Genomic DNA, 21,167 nt, shown 5'->3' on the forward strand with positions numbered 1-21,167 from the left:
GACAATGTAGGTCTGACTGTTCGCTACTCTGCCTTAGGCCCAGAGCTTTTTGCTAGCTACAAAACTATAAACTATAATGGGTTGACAATTGTACTTATCCAAACGCTAGAACCTTTCAATGCAACCAGTACTATATAAATGGTGCTTTGTCAAATTTTCTCTAGGCTTTGTCTCATGTCTCTTTTACTATCTTGAATTTAGCAAAGTAAGACTAGTATGTAAATGATTTTCCAGTTACAGAGACATACATTGTCTCATCCATTTATTCAAAAATATGTACGGAGCAGGAACAAGTACTGTGTCAGATGTTTGATTGTCTCTCCTAGAGCTTCGGTGCTTGCTCTTAAGAATGTGTTTATACGTGACTCTGTGTGCATGTATTCCAGTTGACTTACATTTAAAAATACTACCAACATATTTGATACCATGGTCCCATGAATTCATTCATGGCATTCTTTTAGCATTTCCTGGGTTGTTGAAATCGGCCTAGTGCCTACCTGGGTGCTCAGGAGCTGAAGCAGTATATATGTAGAAGGAGTATTCCAGCAGATATGTTTTCTGCTCCTGAGTTTAAATTTAGATTTTATCAATTCTTCTACAGATTCTGGCTCACATAGACTTTGTGCTCAAGCATAGCCGTATGATAGAATCACATCGCCAATAAACAGTATAAAAACTCTACTGCAAATAGCCTCTGTTAGAAGAGCCTCCCATCTCAATTCATTTTAGAGTAATCAATAAAATAGGCTTGGACCACAATGTTGGCAAATAGATTTTTCAAAAATAATAATACTGTTGCAAAGAGGCCGGTGGCACAGGTTAAAAAAAAATACCAAAAAATTAGAAATATCTAATAGAGAAATCTGCAAATGATGGTGGAATTTCCTTTGCAGGAGGCTGCTCCCCTCAGGCCCGTCCTGCTGCCATTCGGCAGTGCATTCCAGCCTGCAGAAAACCTTTCTCCTACTGTACACAGGTGAGTCATGTGCTGGAGTCTTCTATAAGTGCATTAATTGCTGTGTTTTACACATGCAATCAGATGTTCTCCTGCCGGCTGCAGCCCAAGCAGCAGTTCCACGTGCCCATGATACCATCTAGAGGCATTTGCAGGAGTAATCCCAGTTATAAAGAATTTCTCGTCAGGACCATGTATTAACAGTGTTTTTCTATAAATCTGTCTTTAGCCAAATCTATCTTTCAAATACCTAATTTATGTTAGCTCTATTTACCAGTAAGTATTCTCAGTTGACTTATGTCTTCTCTTCTTAACCTTTTATACGCCTCAACTATTTTGAAAGATACTATAAATGTTCATATTTGCTAAAGTTATTATGCAAATTGTATTACACTATGATTACTGTTGAGTGAGTACATTTTTAGTTTATTTTAAATAAACTGAATATGTGACTATGGTTGAAAAAAATATGTGTATGGGGTGGCGGTTATGCATGTATTTTTTTTTCAAAGCAGAAATTTATTTGTGCTTTTTCTCCTATAACTCCCATCTACCACAACTCAGGAATTAATGTAAAACATGTAATGTATTCTAATCAATGGCACTCATGGTGTGCAGTGCACTATAATTCTTAAAAACTATACTACATTTTTTAAAGAAACAAGCTTTTTCTTATAGTATGCCTATTCTAAAAGTGATTTGATTAAAAATAATTCAAGTACTCAGTCCTATTATTGGCCTTACAAATCAAGATGGGTTAATTCTTTACCACAGAAAAGACAGTGGGTCAGCTTGCAGAGGGGAATAGAAGGAAAAGAGGGGAAGTTCAGGAACAACTCCATTTGGGTTAATGATGTTTAAAAAGTAGAAATTGTAGCTTTTCACCAACTCTCTGGATGTCCTCTTTAATTAAACAGAAAATACTTTTTTCCTTGAACTCTTGAACATATGACTGACTGGTTACAAGTTTTATCTCATGCTAAAAATAGAGATGCATCTTGAGAATATGGCTTCAATAGCTAAGCACATACAAATTTGCTTAGATATCTCCACTGTGATATGAAGATATCATTTTGTGATACTTTCAATTAAAACCAACTGAAAATATCATATTTATGTTATTATTATATGAATGCAACCTGAACTAAACTATAGGCTGTTAACTATAACATGTGCTCTTACTTTTTTTCTTTTGTAGAAGATTGAGGTGCTTTGTTTACTTTTAGTATCTGTTTCTCCTCAAAATCATGTGTTCAGTCAATAATTGATGACCTAAATAAAGTTAACTGGTTGATGAGGATTGGCATGAGTAGCTATGTGAAGCTAAGGTCTGTTCAGAAAATGCTAGATAAATAGCTTTAGGTAAGGAGCCATAAGAGCGAAGTCATAGAGATTCATAATCTTATGCTTATTCTCTTCCACTCTTCTCTATTGTCTGTATACTTGCTGGAGGAAGAGCAGTTATTTTCAAGTTCACTTCCAGAGACAGATAGGAATCTTCATCCATCATGTCTCATAATAATCTGCTTCTTGGTGACATTCATTGTACTTAAAAATGACCAGAAATTTACAGACTAATATAAAAGACCCATTGTCACAATGCCAACTAGAGATGTGATGTGGGGTGACACTCGAGTTATTACAAGGAAGGAGTAACTCAGATAGGCATAGGTATATTTCTCTTGAGCATGCGTCTTTGGTGAAGTCTTTTATCTCCCATGTAAGGCTGCCCTCCTTGAGTGCAGAAGTAAGCCTACAAGCAGAGACGTAGTTTGACATGGTTATGTCAGCAGCAGCGAATCCATACAGGTCTGCGGCAATTTGACTCTTGCCTCCTCCGAGGAAATAATTCATCTGAGGGGCATAAGGCAGAATGTACTTATGCTTGTACTGAGGCAAGTATTTGAACAAGAGTGAAAGTTTATTAAAAAGTTTCAGAGCAGGAAAGAAAGGAAGTAAAGTACACTTGGAAGAAGGCCAAGTGCCCTCTTTGACCTTTGACTTGGGTTTTATATGTTGGCATGCTTCAGGGGTAGAGGTCGTTTTCCCTCTCCCCCGATTCTTCCCTTAGGGTGCGCCATCCACATGCATAGTGGCCATCCACAGTGGCCTGCCAGGACTTGGGAGGGGCCGCATGCACAGCGTGTTTACTGAAGTTGTACACATGCTCACTTTAGGCATTTTTCCCTTACAAGTTGTGTGTTCCTAGAGGAAGATCATATACCAGTTAAACTCCTCCATTTTGCCTCTTAGTGAGCACGGTTGAGCCCATTTGCCCAGCTCCTGAGATTTTATTAGGAAGCTACTGATCACCAGCTTCAGGTGTTTTCTTTTTTCTTTTTTTTTTTTTTTTTGAGATGGAGTCTTGCTCAGTCCACCCAGGCTGGAGTGCAGTGGCATGATCTTGGCTCACTGCAACCACCGCCTCCTGGGTTCACGCCATTCTCCTGCCTCAGCCTCCCAAGTAGCTAGGACTACAGATGCCCGCCACGACGCCCGGCTAATTTTTTTTTTTTCTTTTTTTTTTTTTTTGTATTTTTGGTAGAGACAGGTTTCACCACGTTAGCCAGGATGGTCTCGATCTCCTGACCTTGTGATCCACCCGCCTTGGCCTCCCAAAGTGCTGGGATTACAGGCGTGAGCCACAGCGCCCGGCCAGGTGTTTTCTATCTTTTGGGAGACTGCCTTTCCCTCGTGCTCGCTGCAACCAATTATTATTTTAGAGAGACAGTTTAACAGCTGCCTAACCATCACCTGATGGTTGCCTGACATTCCTGGTGGGGGACCCTTCTCCTGCCCTGCTTATGTCTTCTTAGCTACCTACTCTAACATTTAGTGGTCAATGGTAAAAGGTGATGGAGGGATTTCGCGGCTGTGATAGCAAGAACACTTAATTCAAAGAAGATATGTACATAATCCCTGTTGCTTTGCTTCTCAGTAAGAAGGGTGGGTTGGAGCAACTAGGCAAGGATCTGAAACAAATGGAGATAAGAGTTGAAGATAATTTGATTAAATGCCATAAACATCTCCATAAGAGAGGAAAAGATGGCCAGACATGGTGGCTCACACCTGTAATCCCAGCACTTTGGGAAGCCGAGGTGGGAAGATTACCTGAGGTCAGGAGTTTAAGACCAGCCTGGCCAACATGGTGAAACCCTGTTTCTATTAAAAGAACAAAAAAAAGACAAAATTAGCCAGGTGTGATGGCGGGTGCCTATAATCCCAGCTACTCGGAAGGCTGAGACAGGAGAAGTGCTTGAACCTGGGAGGCGGAGATTACAATGAGCTGAGATTGTGCCATTGTACTCCAGCATCAGCAACAGAGTGAAACTCCATCTAAAAAAAAAAAAAAAGACAAAAAGAGAGAGGAAAAGCATAGTTAATTAACTTTATTCACAAAGAACTATGGTTTAATATTTGGCAGGTGTCAGAATTGTAAACACATTTGAAAAACCTAACATTTGATTTAAGAGCTGACTTTGGAATTTAAAAAGATGAACTATGTATTTGATTTTCATGTCACTGGTAAGTCAGTTGCCCCAAACCCTACATTGCCATGATGTATAGTGCAAATATTAAGTGATTTTAACATTATATTTTTATTCATTCACCTGTTCAACTCACTGTGTAACCATAAAAATATTCTTTATGCTGTAGGGTGGAGTCTGTGGTTGTGAGAAGGGCTATACAGAGATAATGAAATCAAATGGTTTCCTGGATTACTGCATGAAAGTACCAGGCTCAGAGGATAAAAAAGCTGATGTGAAAAACCTTTCTGGGAAAAACAGACCTGTGAATTCAAAAATACATGATATTTTTAAAGGATGGTCTCTTCAACCACTTGATCCAGGTGAGTTTCAGTTGTGAGTAAGAAATGAAAATTTTCTCATGGGAGGTCTATATTTTGACCACTTCTCATGATGGAAAGAATGGAGGGAAGGAGGAAAAGAGGAGAGAAGAAAGAGGCAGTAAGGCATAATTCAGGGTTTCTCAGATTTGAATATTACATGATATATGAGTCCCTTTAAGTGTACAGTGTTTTCATGAATGGTTGAACGTAAGTCTCTCAACCTCAGTCTAAGAAACAGTGGGTTAAGTAACAAAAATAATATTCTTTGAAAAATCTTTCTTTTTTCTTGGGTCGGGGAGAGAATTTCACTCTGTCGCCCAGGCTGCAGTCCAGTGGTGTGATCTCGGCTTACTGCGACCTCCACCTCCCAGGTTCAAGCGATTCTCCTGCCATAGCCTCCAGAGTAGCTGGGATTACAGGTGCCTGCCACCACACCTGACTAATTTTTTTGTATTTTTAGTAGAGATGAGTTTCGCCATGTTGGCCAGGCTGGTCTTGAACTCCTGACTTCAAATGACCCTCCCGCCTTGGCCTCCCAAAGTGCTGGGATTACAGGCATGAGCCACTGCACCCGGCCTGAAAATATCTTTCAATCCTAAATTATCTCTGAAAAATGATCTACTCTTATAACTGAATTTGTATATATAACTAAAATGACAAAATTGGAATAGAACCTCAAGAACTTATAAGAAATGTCCAGAGATCCTATTTGCTTCAAGAAATACTAGTGAAAAGGTAAAGAGTATCAGTTTCAAAGTTAGACCTTACTGGACCCATGGCTTACACACACCTGTTTTGTGATTATGTATAGTTTCTTAACTTCTCTGGACCTCAGTTTTCTCATCTATAAACCCAATCTAGTGGTATTTATCCTGCAGGATTGTCATGGATATTGCAGTATTAGGCCTGTAGGGCTCAGTAATCGACTCTTACTAAGTGCAGGAATGGACATTTATTAGATGCTTTCTGTGTGTCCTGTGGCTCTGTGCTGGCTGGTTGTACAGCATGAAATGTCTCATTACATTCTTGCAACCTAATGAGATGTTATCATCCCATTTGAGAGATGAGGAAACTGAAAATGGCAGTGCAGGTTAATTTTATCAGTTTCACACCACCAGCAAGTGACAGAGGAAGGTTTTAAAGGCAGATCTTTTAGGCTTTTACAAACCCCTGTCCCTGCTTCCTACTTTGTGAATTGGATAGAAGGGGAAAGCCAGTCTCTGTGGCCATCAGACATACTTCTTTCGGAAACAAAATGCTACAAATGATCAAGCAAAGCAACATTAACTCCTAGGGCATGGGAAGGGAAAACACAGAAAAACTCAGGCAAATATACCCTAGGAACTCTCCTTCCAAACCCTAGGCCTTAGCCATACCAGAAATGTCTTGATGACCTGTTTAAATGAAGCAAAATCCAAAGCCCAGGCCCAAAGAAACACAGATCTAACAGGAGAAGCAATATTTATACCCCTCAATCAACTTTTAAGAATTACCACCATATCTTAGTCAACTTTTGCTTCCCCTATGTGTCTGGGAATGCCAAAGGTGTTTAAAAACATCTCATTAGCTTTAATGCTAAATTAGAAGTAGATTTAAATTTGAAGGAAGCATGATATTAAATATAGCCAGGTTCACCCATTGCCTGTGGATCCTATTTCTGACACAGAATTAAGTTGAGGTCCCAGGGAAATGAGTCTTCAAATCCACAAGTAAGCCCTTAACCTTTTATCCATGGATGGAATTTGGAGATCTAACTAACACAGCAATATCATATGTGTGAGTATATGTGTGTGTGTCTATGTGTGTCTAGATACACAAAAGTTTATGTATTCACACATATATGTATATTGGTATATAAATTGCATGTGTGTGTGTGTTTATATTTGTATCTATATATATAGATAAGTATATATAAAATATATATTTGGTCTTGGGAGAGTTTACAACTTTCATTAGGTTCTCATGGTGAGGGTATAAATTAGAGCACCCTGTCAGGAGGACAGTTAGGCCATACTAATATACTTATTTACCTGTCATATATTTTGACCTAAAATGTTCCTCTAAGGAACTCATCATGCAGTTATATGCACATATACTAAAAGAAGTCCGTAAATTATATGAATTACATGATTGCTTATTATAGCAAATGAATGAAAACAATATAAATGCCCACAAATAGAATAATGGGAAAACCAAAATATGATATAACTGTGTCATGGTTTATCACAGGGATACTAAGAAGAGGTAGACCTTCTTTTATGAACTAATATGAAAATATTTCCAACCTATATTGTTTAGTGAAAGAAAAAGTACAAATCAAAGTGAATGATATGCACCATTTGTGTCTTTTTAAGAAGTGTATGAATTGGTATGTGTGTGCTCAGATGCTTGCATATACAGAGAAAAACTAGAAAGATTCACGAGGAAACTGGTAACAGTAATAGCTACTGGGTAGGGAATTGAGAGGTTGGTGGGAAGACTTATTTTTCACTATTATCTTTTTTAATAGTTAGAAGTTTTAGCCTATCTTTTTTTATGTTCTTACAGAATACATTAATGCTTTTATTAAGTAACATGGCTTAAAGGTTTTGTACCACCACATACCTCTAAACTGAGTATTTAAAAGCACTGGATCCTCCCAATGCACCAATCCATAAGTTGTTATGGATTATAAGCTATAAGGAGCATTCTCACTCAGGAAAGACTTTTTTTTTGATCAATGTAAAAACTCAGATTAGGCCATTTCATCATTAGTGTTTCAAAGAGATTAGAATCAAAGCTTTGGTAAAAGTTTTATGACCATAGAAAAATACAATTACTACATTGAACCTCATTCTAAAATCTGATTGAGACTTGAAAGTGTCCTATAAGCAAAAACTATAATAGGTAGTTGTAATGTAATTGAAAGTAATTGTGATTTTATTCAAAACAAGTGTTGTTTACAATAGATTTTGATTGATTTCCCCCCCCCATAGAAGCTTTTCAAATAAGATACTGTTATGTGTATTTTGGACCTGTAGTTAATTACATTCGTGTAGTATAATGAATCTCTGTGTGTGTTTCTTCCAGAAATAAATGCAATTCCTTTGGGATGCTGAGACATTGCCTTTGTCAGTCCAATTCTAAGTTTAGTTAGCTATATGCTCATATAAAATAGAGCAAAAAGACATTAGAGTGACAGAAACAACTCAAGTTTCTATCACATGTAGAAAAAGCATATATATATTTGTGAATATATGTATATATACTCAAGCTTATATCTTATATAGAATAAAAGTAACATAATAGATTAAAATATATGGTTGATTCATTTTGTTAACTGTAGTAGATATCAGATCCAGAATAATGTGTACTTGCAGACACATGGTCATAATTTTACAGTAATTTGGTGAATTGATTAACTTGTTTGGTCATGTGGTTTTTGTTTGCCTAGCATCATTTTGGAAGTAGAGCCACTAAAAATGGTCATAGTAGTTTTCTTTCCATGCAAGGTTGTCTCTTAATTATAATTTTCTTTGTTCTTTTTGTCAAATGTTTTGCCATATTTTTGTATATGCATATGACTATAAACACCTTAAAATAAATTCAAATTAGCCCAACAATTGGCTGGATTTTATGAACTAATGATTACCAGTGTTTGTTTGGTATTATGAAAAAATTTGATTGACTATCTTACATTTTACATTTTCGCTTTTTTTCTTCATTTGAGAGCTGTTACCTATGTGTATTTCCACCTATGCTTATGACTGACTTATGCGTGTCTCAGAATTCAGAAGAAAAGTAAAACATTCAGTAAAATAAACATTTGGTGCCATGAAGTTACAACCTAATGTTTTTGAGAGTTAATTTGCTAAAAATCAAACAACAATGCAAACTGTTTATCTGTAAAAGTTCATTAAAAATGGTACCATGTAATAACATTTAAGGTTTTTTTCATAGACATAATTTCTAGTAGGAAACCCGTATTCCTATGATGTTCTAAGAGAATCTTTTTAATTCCTGATTATACCTGGCAATTTACAGAGTATGCTAGAGCATTGCTAACTTCTGCAGTTGAGTGCACAGTTGGCTAAAGTGCTGCTGTTCAAGTACAGAACTGATGGTCAGCTTGGGGTTGTCAGATCTGATGTTGCCCTATCTCTCAAATGCTGCAGACTTCTGTATGCTAAGCTTCTTATGTTATCTCTATTTTAAACAGATGGCCGAGTAAAAATTTGGGTTTATGGCGTTTCAGGTGGCGCTTTTCTCATCATGATTTTCCTAATATTTACTTCCTACCTTGTTTGGTAAGTACTAATTAGTAAAAAGTTTATGTTCCGTATTTTTATGGATTTCATGTTATACTTAAAACAAGTATCTCAGGATCATTGCCCATTATAACAGGATTCTTGAGTCCAAAAATTAACAGTAGAATGGCTGAATGGTTGAAATGAGGAATCATTATTTTTTTGTTCTTATTTGAGATAACATTTTTTAAATTTGGTATTTGAATAATATGAAAATCACTGGTCAGAACTTTTCCATTTGCATGTTTTGATTTCGATCAGTAGTTTTCAGCTTTGACAATACATTGATGTCTCCTAGGGAATCAGGCTTGATCTCACTCCCCAGAGGTTCTGATTTAATTAGTCTTAGGTGTGGCCAGGTCATCTGGGTGTTGTAAAGCTTCTCAGGTAATTCTAATCTGTGGTCACAGATAAGAAAATTACCATAGATTATTTTAGTTCTTAAATTTTGTTCTTAAATTTTGAATGGTTAGGTTAAAATGACCAGTTGGTTGAAAGAACCTGTAAGCACATTTTAAATAGTAGAGCAAGTTGTTTTGCTATATTGACCAGCTATGAGACAAAATTTAACTGATGGTCATTTGCAAAAAAAAAAAACCATTTTGTAAAGTGACTAGTTCTGAGAATTTATTAATCTCAGAAAATAATAACTAGTTTATCATACAGAATATATTTAAGTTGATGAACGGCTCTTGAAACCAGACAGAAGTAAATGCAGTTGACTCTTGAACAATGTGAGGAGGACTGGGGTGCCTACTCCCCACACAGTCGAAAATTCAAGTATAATTTATGACTCCCCCAAAACCTGACTACTAATGGCCCGCTTTTGATCAGAAGCCTTACCAATAACATAGTCAAATAACGCATATTTTGTATATGAATTATATAGTATATTCTTACTATAAAGTAAGCTAGAGAAAAGAAAATGTAATTAAGAAAATCATAAGGAATACAAAATATATTTACTATTCACTAAGTAGTTATGGATTATCATGAAGGTCTTCATCCTCACCATCTTCATACTGACTAGGCTGAGGAGGAGGAGGAAGAAAGGGCTGTTTGCCTTATTGTCTCAGGGGTGGCAGAGGCGGAAGAAATTCTGCATATAAGTTGATGCAGTTCAAACCTGTGTTGTTCAAGGGTCAACTGTAGATTTTAATGTTTTCAAGTGTGCTAAGAATATTATATCAGCTTTCTGAGCAGAAGTTTCAATGGATTTTTTTTAATTTTAATGAGATCAAAGTGTTACTTCAATTTTTTCTCCTAATAAATATATTTATATTCATCATCTGTCCCAGAGACTATTTTCCGGAGAGTTTTTACCCAAGTTTTAATCTTGATTCAAATTCAGCCATTGTCTATTAACCTCAAGTTCTGTTTCCAAGGCTACACAGGTTTTTAAATTTTTGCTCTTGGTCAGTGAAAGTTGATGAAGAAAATAAGGTGACTTTAATTCTTTCTGCCACCTACAGTGATAGAAATTGAATCCCTAGAAATTAGATTTCTATCCAACTAACATTTCCCTGTTGTTGTAGTGAAAAGTTCATCTTCAGTTGGTCATTCATCCTAGAATCAATTTTTTTTTTACTGATTTTCTTTATTCAAATTGATGTTTGGCTAGTATTGCCTAGATCTACTTTTAATGAACAAATGTGAATTTGAAAGCTTTGTATGAGGTTTAAAGGAATAGGAAGCATTCACCACCAGAAAAGATTAAAACAAGGAGGAAATTTCTTAAATTGCAGCAAAGGACACGAAGGTTTGGCCAATAGGAAACTGCTTTCAAAGCAATCAGTAGGCCAACCCAGTGTAAGGTAATTAGATAGTCTATCGGTCTATAAAAGCTTAGATGAATTCTAGCTGTTAGTAGCCATATCCCCAAATCTAGATTCTATGGTTCCCATTTCCCCTAAGTATTTAAAAGATTAAAAATTTACGTGTAGTAACACATACATTTTTCCTTTTTGTTTTCCTCCATTCCCTTCAACCTAAAAATGTGTTAACCATAATCTATTCCTTCGACAACAAATATTTATTAAGGCCCCTTTCTGCATGACTCTAGGCTCTGGGAATTAATTAGGTACATCATTGAATTCTGTTAACAAACCACTTTCTAGAGCATTTATATATATATATTCATGGGATACAAATGCAGTTTTGCTACATGGATATATTGCTTTTTGGTGAATTTTTAAGTATAAAATACCAATGAAATTTCTCTTTACTTTTCAGTAGCCAAATTACATAAATATTTATGCATATTGTATCTCATAGCCATTTTTTTGATCCCCAATGTCTGCCTTTAATAATGTCCCTGTGGAAGTAGCGCTCATATTTGGACCGGCTCCCATCTGCAGTCTACAGCCAGATTCGTCTTTCTGAAGCTTAGCTCCAGGGATCAGCCCTTTCCTACTCATAGATGAGCTCTGGCTTCCCACTGACAGCAAAACTAAAGTCATGTTTTGGCTGCCTCACCAGTTGACTAAAGTCTTCCACAACTGGAGCCCAAAAAACTCTTTCAAATTTATCTGCTACTAATTCCCTATACCCTGTACAGGCTGGTGTGTTGTATAGGTCCAAACACATTTAAGTCTTCATTTTCTAACAAGGAAAATTTTTTAAAATAGAAAAAAAATTGACTTTTTAAATAAACTTTGATTTCGATAAGAGAGTAAATTGTCTATGCTAATATTTAATCAATGTGCTAAATTATAGTTCCATTTATTATCTTACATCATATATAAATACAGTATTTCATTATATAAAATGCTCATCTTCGGCCAGGTGCGGTGGCTCATGCCTGTAATCCCAGCACTTTGGGAGGCCAAGGCGGGCGGATCACGAGGTCAGGAGATCGAGACCATCCTATCTAACACAGTGAAACCCCGTCTCTACTAAAAATACAAAAAATTAGCCAGGTGTGGTGGCGGGCGCCTGTAGTCCCAGCTACTCCGGAGGCTGAGGCAGGAGAATGGTGTGAACCCGGGAGGCGGAGCTTGCAGTGAGCCAAGATTGCGCCACTGCACTGCAGCGTGGGCGACAGAGTGAGACTCCGCCTCAAAAAAAAAAAAAAAAAAAAAAAAAAAAAAATGCTTGTCTTCTCTAATTTCATATTCATAATAGAATTTTATTCAATGTCTACATCTACCTTTCAGATAAGTCACTCTTATCACTGCTTTAGTCTTTCTTTCCACAGTTCACTTCAGTATCAGGTTTAGTATATTCATTTCCACCCAAGTTGTTTGCGATACAGCACTTCTTTGGATCTCTTTGTGCTGCTGTTTCAGAAGTTTTATCCTAACATCCAAATACCTATCTGCATATATTAGGGAGATGGCCATTTTATTTGTGTTGTGTGTATATTTATGATTTGCTTTTTTTTTTTTAAAAAAAAAAAAAAAGCTTGTGGTATAACAAATGTAGCCCCTCATTATGTAAAAGATTTTATAGTCATTGAATAAAAGACTATTGCCTCTTTCTGAAAGATAATTTTAGGAGGAATAATTTCACATTAGGGCACTATATTAATCCATTGTCATACTACTATGAAGAAGAAATAGCCAAGACTGGGTAATTTATAAAGGAAAGAGATTTAATTGACTCAACAGTTCTATATAGGGCTGGAGAGGCCTCAGGAAACTTACTTACTTACAATCATGGCCCAAGGCAAAGGAGAAACAGGCACCTTCTTCACAGAGCAGCAGAATGGATTGAGTGCTGAGAGTAGGGGAAAAAGCCCCTTATAAAACCATCACATCTTTTGACAACTCACTCGCTATCATGAGAACACCATGGGGGAAGCGATGATTCAGTTACCTCCACCTAGTTTCTCTCTTCACATGTGGGGATTATGGGGTTTATAGGGATTACAACTCAAGATGAGATTTAGGTGGAGAAACAAAGCCTAACCGTATCAGGCACTTAGGGTACTGCCCCTCTAATTTTCCAAGGACGTTTCTGCTTCTGTGGCTTACTCCTTGTTTCCCCTTGCTAGCTATTGGTACTCTACCTGTTCATTAATCCCTGTAAAACTCAAATACCAACATTTTCCTTTTTAAACAGTCTGGAATAACTTGTTCATGTCTCTTTTGTCGTGGTAGTTACCCCATGATTGATAATATTGTAGTTATTTATATAAACATCTTCCTCCTCTATCAAACTCCAGGGAGTTTGGGTGGGGAGAGGTAATGACTATGCTTTATGGATTGTTTTAAAGCATGAATTTGATAAAGATTTATTGAGCAAATATATAAAATGTATTAGTATAAACTAATTTATTGCCCGTGATTTTTAGAAAAACAGTATAGGAAAAAAAATCTAATATTTATATGTCAAATATTACATACATTGCCTTATTCAATCATAATAATTCAAGGAGGTGTTGCTATTGCCATCCCTATTTTAAAGAGTAATTGATCCGTAGTGAAATTATATAACTTTTCTGAGGTCACCAGCATGGTAGAATCAACCCCAGGTTTGCCTCTCCCTAGAGTTTGCCTATCCCTAGAGTTCATGCTCTTTCTACTGGTCTTTGAGTCATTGTGATTTCTTTCTCTTGAGTGATGCCCAAAACTCTTTAGACTCAACATAATGTCTATAGCTTCCACATTTCCTAGAGGATTTTTGTTTCACAGGTAAAGTAAGCTGTTGACCTATTACAGACCTATTGTTATAAAAACACGTACCTTTTACTGTTACATATGAGCCGCCAAAGAAACCCAAATAGATATTTTCACAGCATCTAATTCTATTAAATGGATTGCAGAAGAGTTACAGGATGACAGTTTTAGAGATTTTATATTTTTGCCAAAAACAGAAGCCTTAGGACAAGAGAACTGCTATAATATGCCAGGTCTTTGGTGTATACTTCAGATGAAAGCAATTTATAGTAAAACTTGAAAATGCTTCTGAGAAAATGTCAAAAAAATAGCCTTCTAAAGACTACTTCTTTCAAATACTAGCCTTTGAACATCTACCATTAGTGTTTGGAGTTTCAGAAATATTATTGATGCCCCTTCTCCTCTGGCAGTAAATATCCATGAAGCAATTTAATGGGGATGACCACTGGATGAACTTGCTGTTAACCTAGATGTAGCACCTGGAAGTTACACCAGATAATAATGTCCATTCTGCCTGGCCCAGCACAGTTCTGTAATGCATTCTTATTCTTCCCAAGTTTGAGAGTGGTACTTGCACCTCCAAAGGCTTGTCTCTCACAAATGGCTGCCAAAACAAAATGTGGTTTGCTGCTTTCATCAAACTAGTTAATCTCTCCTGGCTTGAGAATGAGTCCTTGCTGAGAAGTGCCAGAGGCTTGCTTGTCAGTCCACAATGAGCTCACTTTTCTGGCTTAATTCATTTTTGTCCTTTGCTAAAATGCAAATGACCCTAAAAGAGGTAACTTTAAAATGTGTCTGCCAGTGATCTTTCACAGCTAGGATTGCAAAATGGTTTTATGCTGTGTGCCAACTCTAAAAGTGGCTATGGCTGTCAAGAGTGCTGTTAGGAAGAATGATGAGGCTACACCTCAGCTCAACAGGAGAGAATAGAGTGATGGATTAGAGATGTCCACCTGGGCACAGGATGACTGGTGGTGTTGGTGGCATATGTGCCAGGCATTTATGGGTCCTGATTTAGTGAGTGAGGGAGGTGAACATACCTTTTCTGAAACCAGAGTGGAGGAGGAAAAAATAAGAAATAAACTTACTTCTAAAGGAAAAATGTGGATACTGTAGGGAGAAAGGAAAGCAAGCCAGAGGTTCTAAAGACAAGCCTCCTAGTTGCTGGCCTCCTCAGTGTTGGCCTTGCTGAGTGCAGTCTTGCCCCTCAGCTCCTCCTCCTGAGGTTCTTTTTTACTGGCCAGAAAGCCTTGCTAAGCTGCTATTCGGCAAAGTACTACCATGTTCAGTGGTCCAGAGATTAATATTTGAGAGGAGGCTGATCTATTCAAAGCCATAAAACTTCTCAGATCTCATGTATTCGTAACTGTGATTTTGGTGTCTGGCAATTGGGAGGTTGCACAATATGAAAAGATGCTTGATAAATGAGGTCCTAATCCCAATGATCCCCAGCACACCACATGGCCCACAAAGGTCCAAGGCCTACCTATTAGTAGCCCCCGCTGGCCACAGTGTCCGTGATTCCAAACATGGTAAGTGGTATAAACATATTTGTGTAAATTTTGAATAGAATATTCCAAGCCTAGATCATAGAGGCTGGCCAAGTTGACGTGTCTCCCAGGTGATAGTATTGTCTCTTTATAGAGATATGACCACCTCTAGCCGTTCTCCTGGCTTTGCATTCTCAACTCCCCAATGCTTAGGATTGTCTAATTTCTCCTTGCCCAGTGGCCTTTAGCAAATGCCCATTAAAGGTAGACTGCCAAAATCTCTGTTTTGGAAGCAACTACATTTCTTACCCCTCTCTTCTTCTTTGCTCCCTTCCCGCAGAAAAAAGAAAACCAAGAGAGGTGGGAGGGAGAAGACTCCTACTGTAATTTCAGATGAACTTCCTTGTACTCTTTTTTGCCATTAAGACAACCCACCCCATCACCACCACCACCATCAGGTTTTACAGGCTGTCACTTTCAGATTGCCTCACCCTCTGGTGTGTGCATGATTTCTTAGCACCTTTAAATGCTGTGGAATGGTATACCCAGGACTCCATGTCAAGTGGGGTTCATGCCAGAGCCTGAGCCCATCAGTATAATTAGAGTCACTGGAACATACTTAGTATAGATAAAGTTAAATTGAATGTTATTCAGATAATTAAGCAATACCCTTTTGAAAATTGGAGAGGACCTGGAAAGCAGGAAATTGAAGGCTGAAGCTCCCTCTGGAGAATATTCTGAATCTTGTTTTTGCATCTCCGCAGCTTCTCTGGTTGGAAGTTGTTTGCCTGCAGCCATCTCTGCCCAGCACTCAGCATATTCTCAATGAGCACCCGCTGCATGCCAGGTGCTAGGGTGGGGGGCACTGAGAGAATCTGCAGTTCCTTTTAGGGTTTCTGCCAAAACCATTTTTAATTTATTTCTTTAACTTGTATGATTTGCTTCAAACATCAATCAAAAAAATAATTTTACTCCTCAAATTAAAACTTGAGCATTTTAAACTAGGAGTTTCTCCCTACAACCATTTTAATTTTATCAACTTTTTATTGCAGTAAAATTCACATAACATAAAATTCACAATTTTAGCCATTAAGTGTAAGAAGCCAGACACAATAGACCAGATACAGCATGATTCCATTTAAGATATCAAAATCTATTTGGGCAGAAAGTTAATTGATGAATGGCTACCAGGGGCTGAGAGCAGGGTGAAATGGGGGAGGGACTGCTTGGAAGAGTGCAGAGTTGCCTTTTGGCACGATGAAAATGTTCTGGAGCTAGATAATGGTGATGGTACACATGCTGTGACTGCCAAATGCCACTGAATTGTATAGATTAAAATCTTTGTTTTTTACGTTAGATTCACTCAGAATACAAAAATTAATTCATATGTGCAGACAAAAAATGTCATTTCTACCAAGTGCTAAATGAATGCCATATATATATATATATATATATATATATATATATATATATATATGCGGACAGTGTGGTGAAAAGGTTAAAAGCTCAGGTCTGTGTGTTAGATTTGCTTAGAATTCAGGTTCTGCCACTCACTCAGTGACCTAAGGGAAGGTAAACAGCCTTGGTAGTCCTTCTCTGTAAAGTAGCAATAATTCTAATGCCTCCCTTGCAGGGTTGTTCTGGGATGTTTTGAGAGATTTTGTGTAAAACATTCAGCACAGATCTTGGCACTTAGTATGCATCGAATAAGCAATAGATGCTAATATAATATAAAAGCATGGAAGGTTGGAGACAGGGAGAGAGATGAAGCCGGGCTGTGTGGGCAGGGCAAAGCAAAGACCTTGAGGAGAGAGGATAAGTGTGGTGGTGAGAGAAGTTAAGTGGCAGAATTAAAGGTTACAAGCATTTATAAATACAAGTTAAGATTTCCCCATACTAAGAAACAAGAAGTGTACTGCAGGGTGTTTTGCCCCATATCTTGGGCATCACTGTGTGATTTGGGAATGTTGTTAACTTAAGCTTTTCTCTCCATGAGAAGGAAAAGCAGCCTTCTCTGACCTGGCAAAGTTGTGGACTTCAGGTAAAGCAGAGACCAGGTGAGAATGGCTTTGCACGGAGTAGAATTGGTTAAATTTTCCTGACACACTCTGGCATCTTGGCAGCTAAATGTCAGGTTCCAGGTCAGAGCAGAAGTGTGTTTACTTAAAAACAAGACCAGCAGGGTGAGGCCTGGCTGCTCCAGCTGCTTATGATGTTGAGCATCTGTGATGTGAAGGTCACAATAGCTTAAAAATTAGTGAGAAAAGACGTTCCTGTTGTTGTGTATCATCAAGAATATAAAAGGAAAACAACTCTTCTACTAAGTTCCTTCATTCCACTAAACCAATTTTAAGATTGTGAAAAATGATGGCTTCTCCTTAACAAACAGAGGGTGAAAGCATTCAATATTCACAAAAGGGAACCCACACATCTAGAGAAATGAATCTTTTTGTCATTTTACCGCTTAAATTTCTGTATCTCAAAATTGTCTTTGGCAGATGAAACAGAGCTCTATGAACTTACTTGATCTGAGGAATTTTTTTCCCTTTGCAGCAAGAAGCCAAAACCACATCAAAGCACACCTCCCCAACAGAAGCCTCTGACCTTAGCCTACGATGGAGACTTAGACATGTAATCTGAAAAAGAAATCCAAATGTAGACATCAACTGCCTTAACCGCTTTCTCTTTTGTAGCTCTCAGACTTCTCAGTTTTTTGAGGAATCTCAAGATGTGATATATTGGGCAGAATACAAATATTGCAAAAGTAATATTGCCTCAACTTCATTTGGACATGGAGTCAAGGATTATTAGGTCTGCCATTTTGTTTTCAAGTTGTTTGTGGGTGTGTTTTATTTTTTTGGTTTTCCCAAGGGACCTGAAAACCCTTCTCTTCCTGTTTGGAACTGGGAGGAAGAAAACATGATGGAATTCCCACAGACTTGAGTAAACTTGATCTTCAGCAGCATAATGACAATCCAGAGGAAAATACAGTCAAGGCATTTACTCTAAATGACGAGTCTGACACTGCATTGTTACGCACTATATTAGTGCAAAGTCTTTATTCTTCCCATACTTCAACACTGAGTTTTCTAGAGTTTACTTTGGTTTAAAGACTTTCAAATTGGATTGCCTATTTTTCATGAACACAGAGAGAATGGATTACCATTTCAGAAATTCTCTGAGTTTTTAACCTTTAAATATTGTATTTTGTTTTGTAGCCAGGGGATGATGGCGCTTCATGGGTTGCAGCTACTGAAAATAGCAGCGTGTGTGTAATTGCTGGACTAGATGAAAGCTAGGTCATTTCTGAAGGGAATGTGTACTGAATGTTAGAGTGTACAAATGAAATATGTGGTTAAATTGGAGAATGAGGTAGATTATTTGATTACTAAAACTGTATTTTAACAAAAACTTATCCATGTAGATATAGCATTAACCACACACAGTTGTAATTCAGTTTAATGATGACAAACTCTGCTTTTGTAATTTCAATTTTCTTATCTGAATATTTATAAATTCTTCTTTCAAATTTAATTATCTGACCTCATTTAATATACATCAAACACCGATCCTGTTTGTACAAAGTCTTGCTTTTATAAGGTTTCAATAATATCTAAAACAACACATTAAAAAGCTGAGACCATTTTATGAAGATAATTGTTTGTAATCATAGGTGTTGAAAGTAAAAAGGTGCCATCTTGTGGTATTGACTTGTATTTATAACAAATAAACTGCTCAAGAGACTGCAGTGTTGGCTGTTCTAGATTTATTCACTTCTGAAGTGCCTTGCCCTTGCTTTGACAAAAACAGTATTAATATCAGTTTTTCAGTGTTTTGGGGGTTGACAGCTGCTATCACTGACAAAAACAAAAAAAGGAATCTTACCCCTCCACACTATCAGGCATACTAGGAAACAGCGCCAGTCACAATGACATAGAGTAGCTTTTAGGGAACATTTAGAGCTCAAATAATATTAGAAAAAACCGCTGTAATCATGCAAACACTGATATGTAAATGATGTGAGAGAAGGAAGAAAATGGAAATGTTAGAAATGTGACACAACGACCAGATTAAAGGATGTTTTCATTTACACTGTAACCTCTATTAACCATTTAACACCTAGGTAAGCCCTCCAACTAGCTGATTGTGTGCAATGATATACCATAATTTTAAAATAAGAAAGCAAAAAGAGAATACTTTACTTTATTTTACTAGTATACTTGAGAAAACAATTCCCAGAATTGTGCTTTCAAAAGTTCACTTTAGCTAAAGCATCAGTAGCCTTCTTAGTAGTTTAAGAAAGGCTGCTTTGGAGATCAAACCATGGCTAGGCCCTTTATTGCCTGTGTGACCCCGGACCAGGAATGTAACTTTTCTGTGCCTCAGTTGTTTGACCCACAAAATGAAGATAATAAAATTATGTTCCTCTAAAGTTAGACACTAATAATAAATGTAAAATCCTTAATATTCACCACATATCAAAAGTGCAATAAATATTATCCACAATTAATTAGTATTGTATATTCAGAGTTAGGACCCTTAGGTCATTCAAGTTTTTCATTCATTACAGATTCAACAATTATCCATATATTTAATTTGTGTCAATAATATTAGACTTTTAGTACTCATGGCTTGAATAAAATTGCTTTTCCAATAATACATGCCCAAAATATTATTTCAGTTACATCCAGTTCCCAAATATCAATATCACTACATATGTCTTTCATTCATTTAAGCAAATCATATATATTAAACATCTACCATTGGTTAGGCACAGTGCTCAGAGGTGCACTGTTGAATGAAATGTGATCCCTTCTGACTTTTACTTTACTTGAAAATTATGCCAGACAGACCCAAAGATTTGGGACGATTACTCCTCAGGAGGAAAGCCAAGTAAAAAAATATGAGTAAAAAACTATGTATATTCCATAAACTGATATAGATTTCAAAAGTTTATACATGAAGTCTATGAACACTTCCTTAGGACAGCATATTGCTCCTACAGGACAAATGGTTTTAACATGTGTAGTGCTTATAGGCAGAGGATAAAAGGAGGAGATCAGAAGAAGTCAGTTTGTGCCTGGTACTGCTACTAACTAACTAGCCATTGACTTTAACAAGCCACCTAAGTCAGTTTCCACACTGCGCAGTGTAGAAAACAGACTCACAGACACCAACCGATTTACCCTGTGAATGTATATAGTAGAAATACCAGAAAACTAGCTTGCAGAAAGATTCAGTTTCATATGCAAAGGGTTTTTGTTTTCGAATTAAAGTCATTTAAAATTGAGAGCTTTTACATAAAAATTTGGAGTTCTAGGTTCTCTTGAAAACTTACACAATCTGGTCCGGGCGCGGTGGCTCACTCCTGTAATCCCAGCACTTTGGGAGGCCGAGACGGGCGGATCACGAGGTCAGGAGATCGAGACCATCTGGCTAACACGGTGAAACCCCGTCTCTACCAAAAGTACAAAAAATCAGCTGGGCGTGGTGGCGGGCGCCTGTAGTCCCAGCTACTCGGGAGGCTGAGGCAGGAGAATGGCGTGAACCCGGGAGGCGGAGCTTGCAGTGAGCCGAGATCGCGCCACTGCACTCCAGCCTGGGTGACAGAGCAAGACTCCGTCTCAAAAAAAAAAAAAGAAAAAAAGAAAAAAGAAAACTTACACAATCTGATAACAAATACCTCAATCCTTCATGGTAATTTGCTGGAACTGAATGTTGACTGCAGTCTTTAGAAATGGCATTCACTCTCATTGATTAAACAAATATACATCGTATATTTAGGCCTTACAGGCCAAACAATCTCTATTGCAACTACTCAACTCTGGGAAGGCAGCTGTAGACAATACATTAATGAATGAGTAGTTGCGATAGAGATTGTATGGCCTGCAAAGCCTAAGTATTATCTGGCTCTCTACAGAAAAGAACTGCTGACCCCTTTCCTACTGGTTCTCTCAACCTAGTTTC

The 21,167-nt window shown here is 37.4% G+C and overlaps 1 protein-coding gene across 2 annotated transcripts in view; it reads left to right on the forward strand.

The window, feature by feature from the left end:
* The window catches only part of THSD7B (thrombospondin type 1 domain containing 7B), a 912,174-nt gene extending 893,226 nt beyond the window's left edge, over positions 1 to 18,948 (forward strand). For both annotated transcript variants that reach the window (NM_001316349.2, XM_047445935.1), the window contains exons 25-28: positions 894 to 976; positions 4,613 to 4,805; positions 9,004 to 9,091; positions 17,754 to 18,948. In NM_001316349.2, the coding sequence (NP_001303278.1) occupies positions 894 to 976; positions 4,613 to 4,805; positions 9,004 to 9,091; positions 17,754 to 17,835 (446 nt within the window). In that variant the 3' untranslated portion in view covers positions 17,836 to 18,948. The remainder of the gene's footprint in view (positions 1 to 893; positions 977 to 4,612; positions 4,806 to 9,003; positions 9,092 to 17,753) is intronic.
* The last annotated feature ends 2,219 nt before the right edge of the window (positions 18,949 to 21,167 follow it).

Source organism: Homo sapiens, chromosome 2 (genome assembly GCF_000001405.40).
Source record: "Homo sapiens chromosome 2, GRCh38.p14 Primary Assembly".
Lineage (NCBI taxonomy): Eukaryota > Metazoa > Chordata > Mammalia > Primates > Hominidae > Homo > Homo sapiens.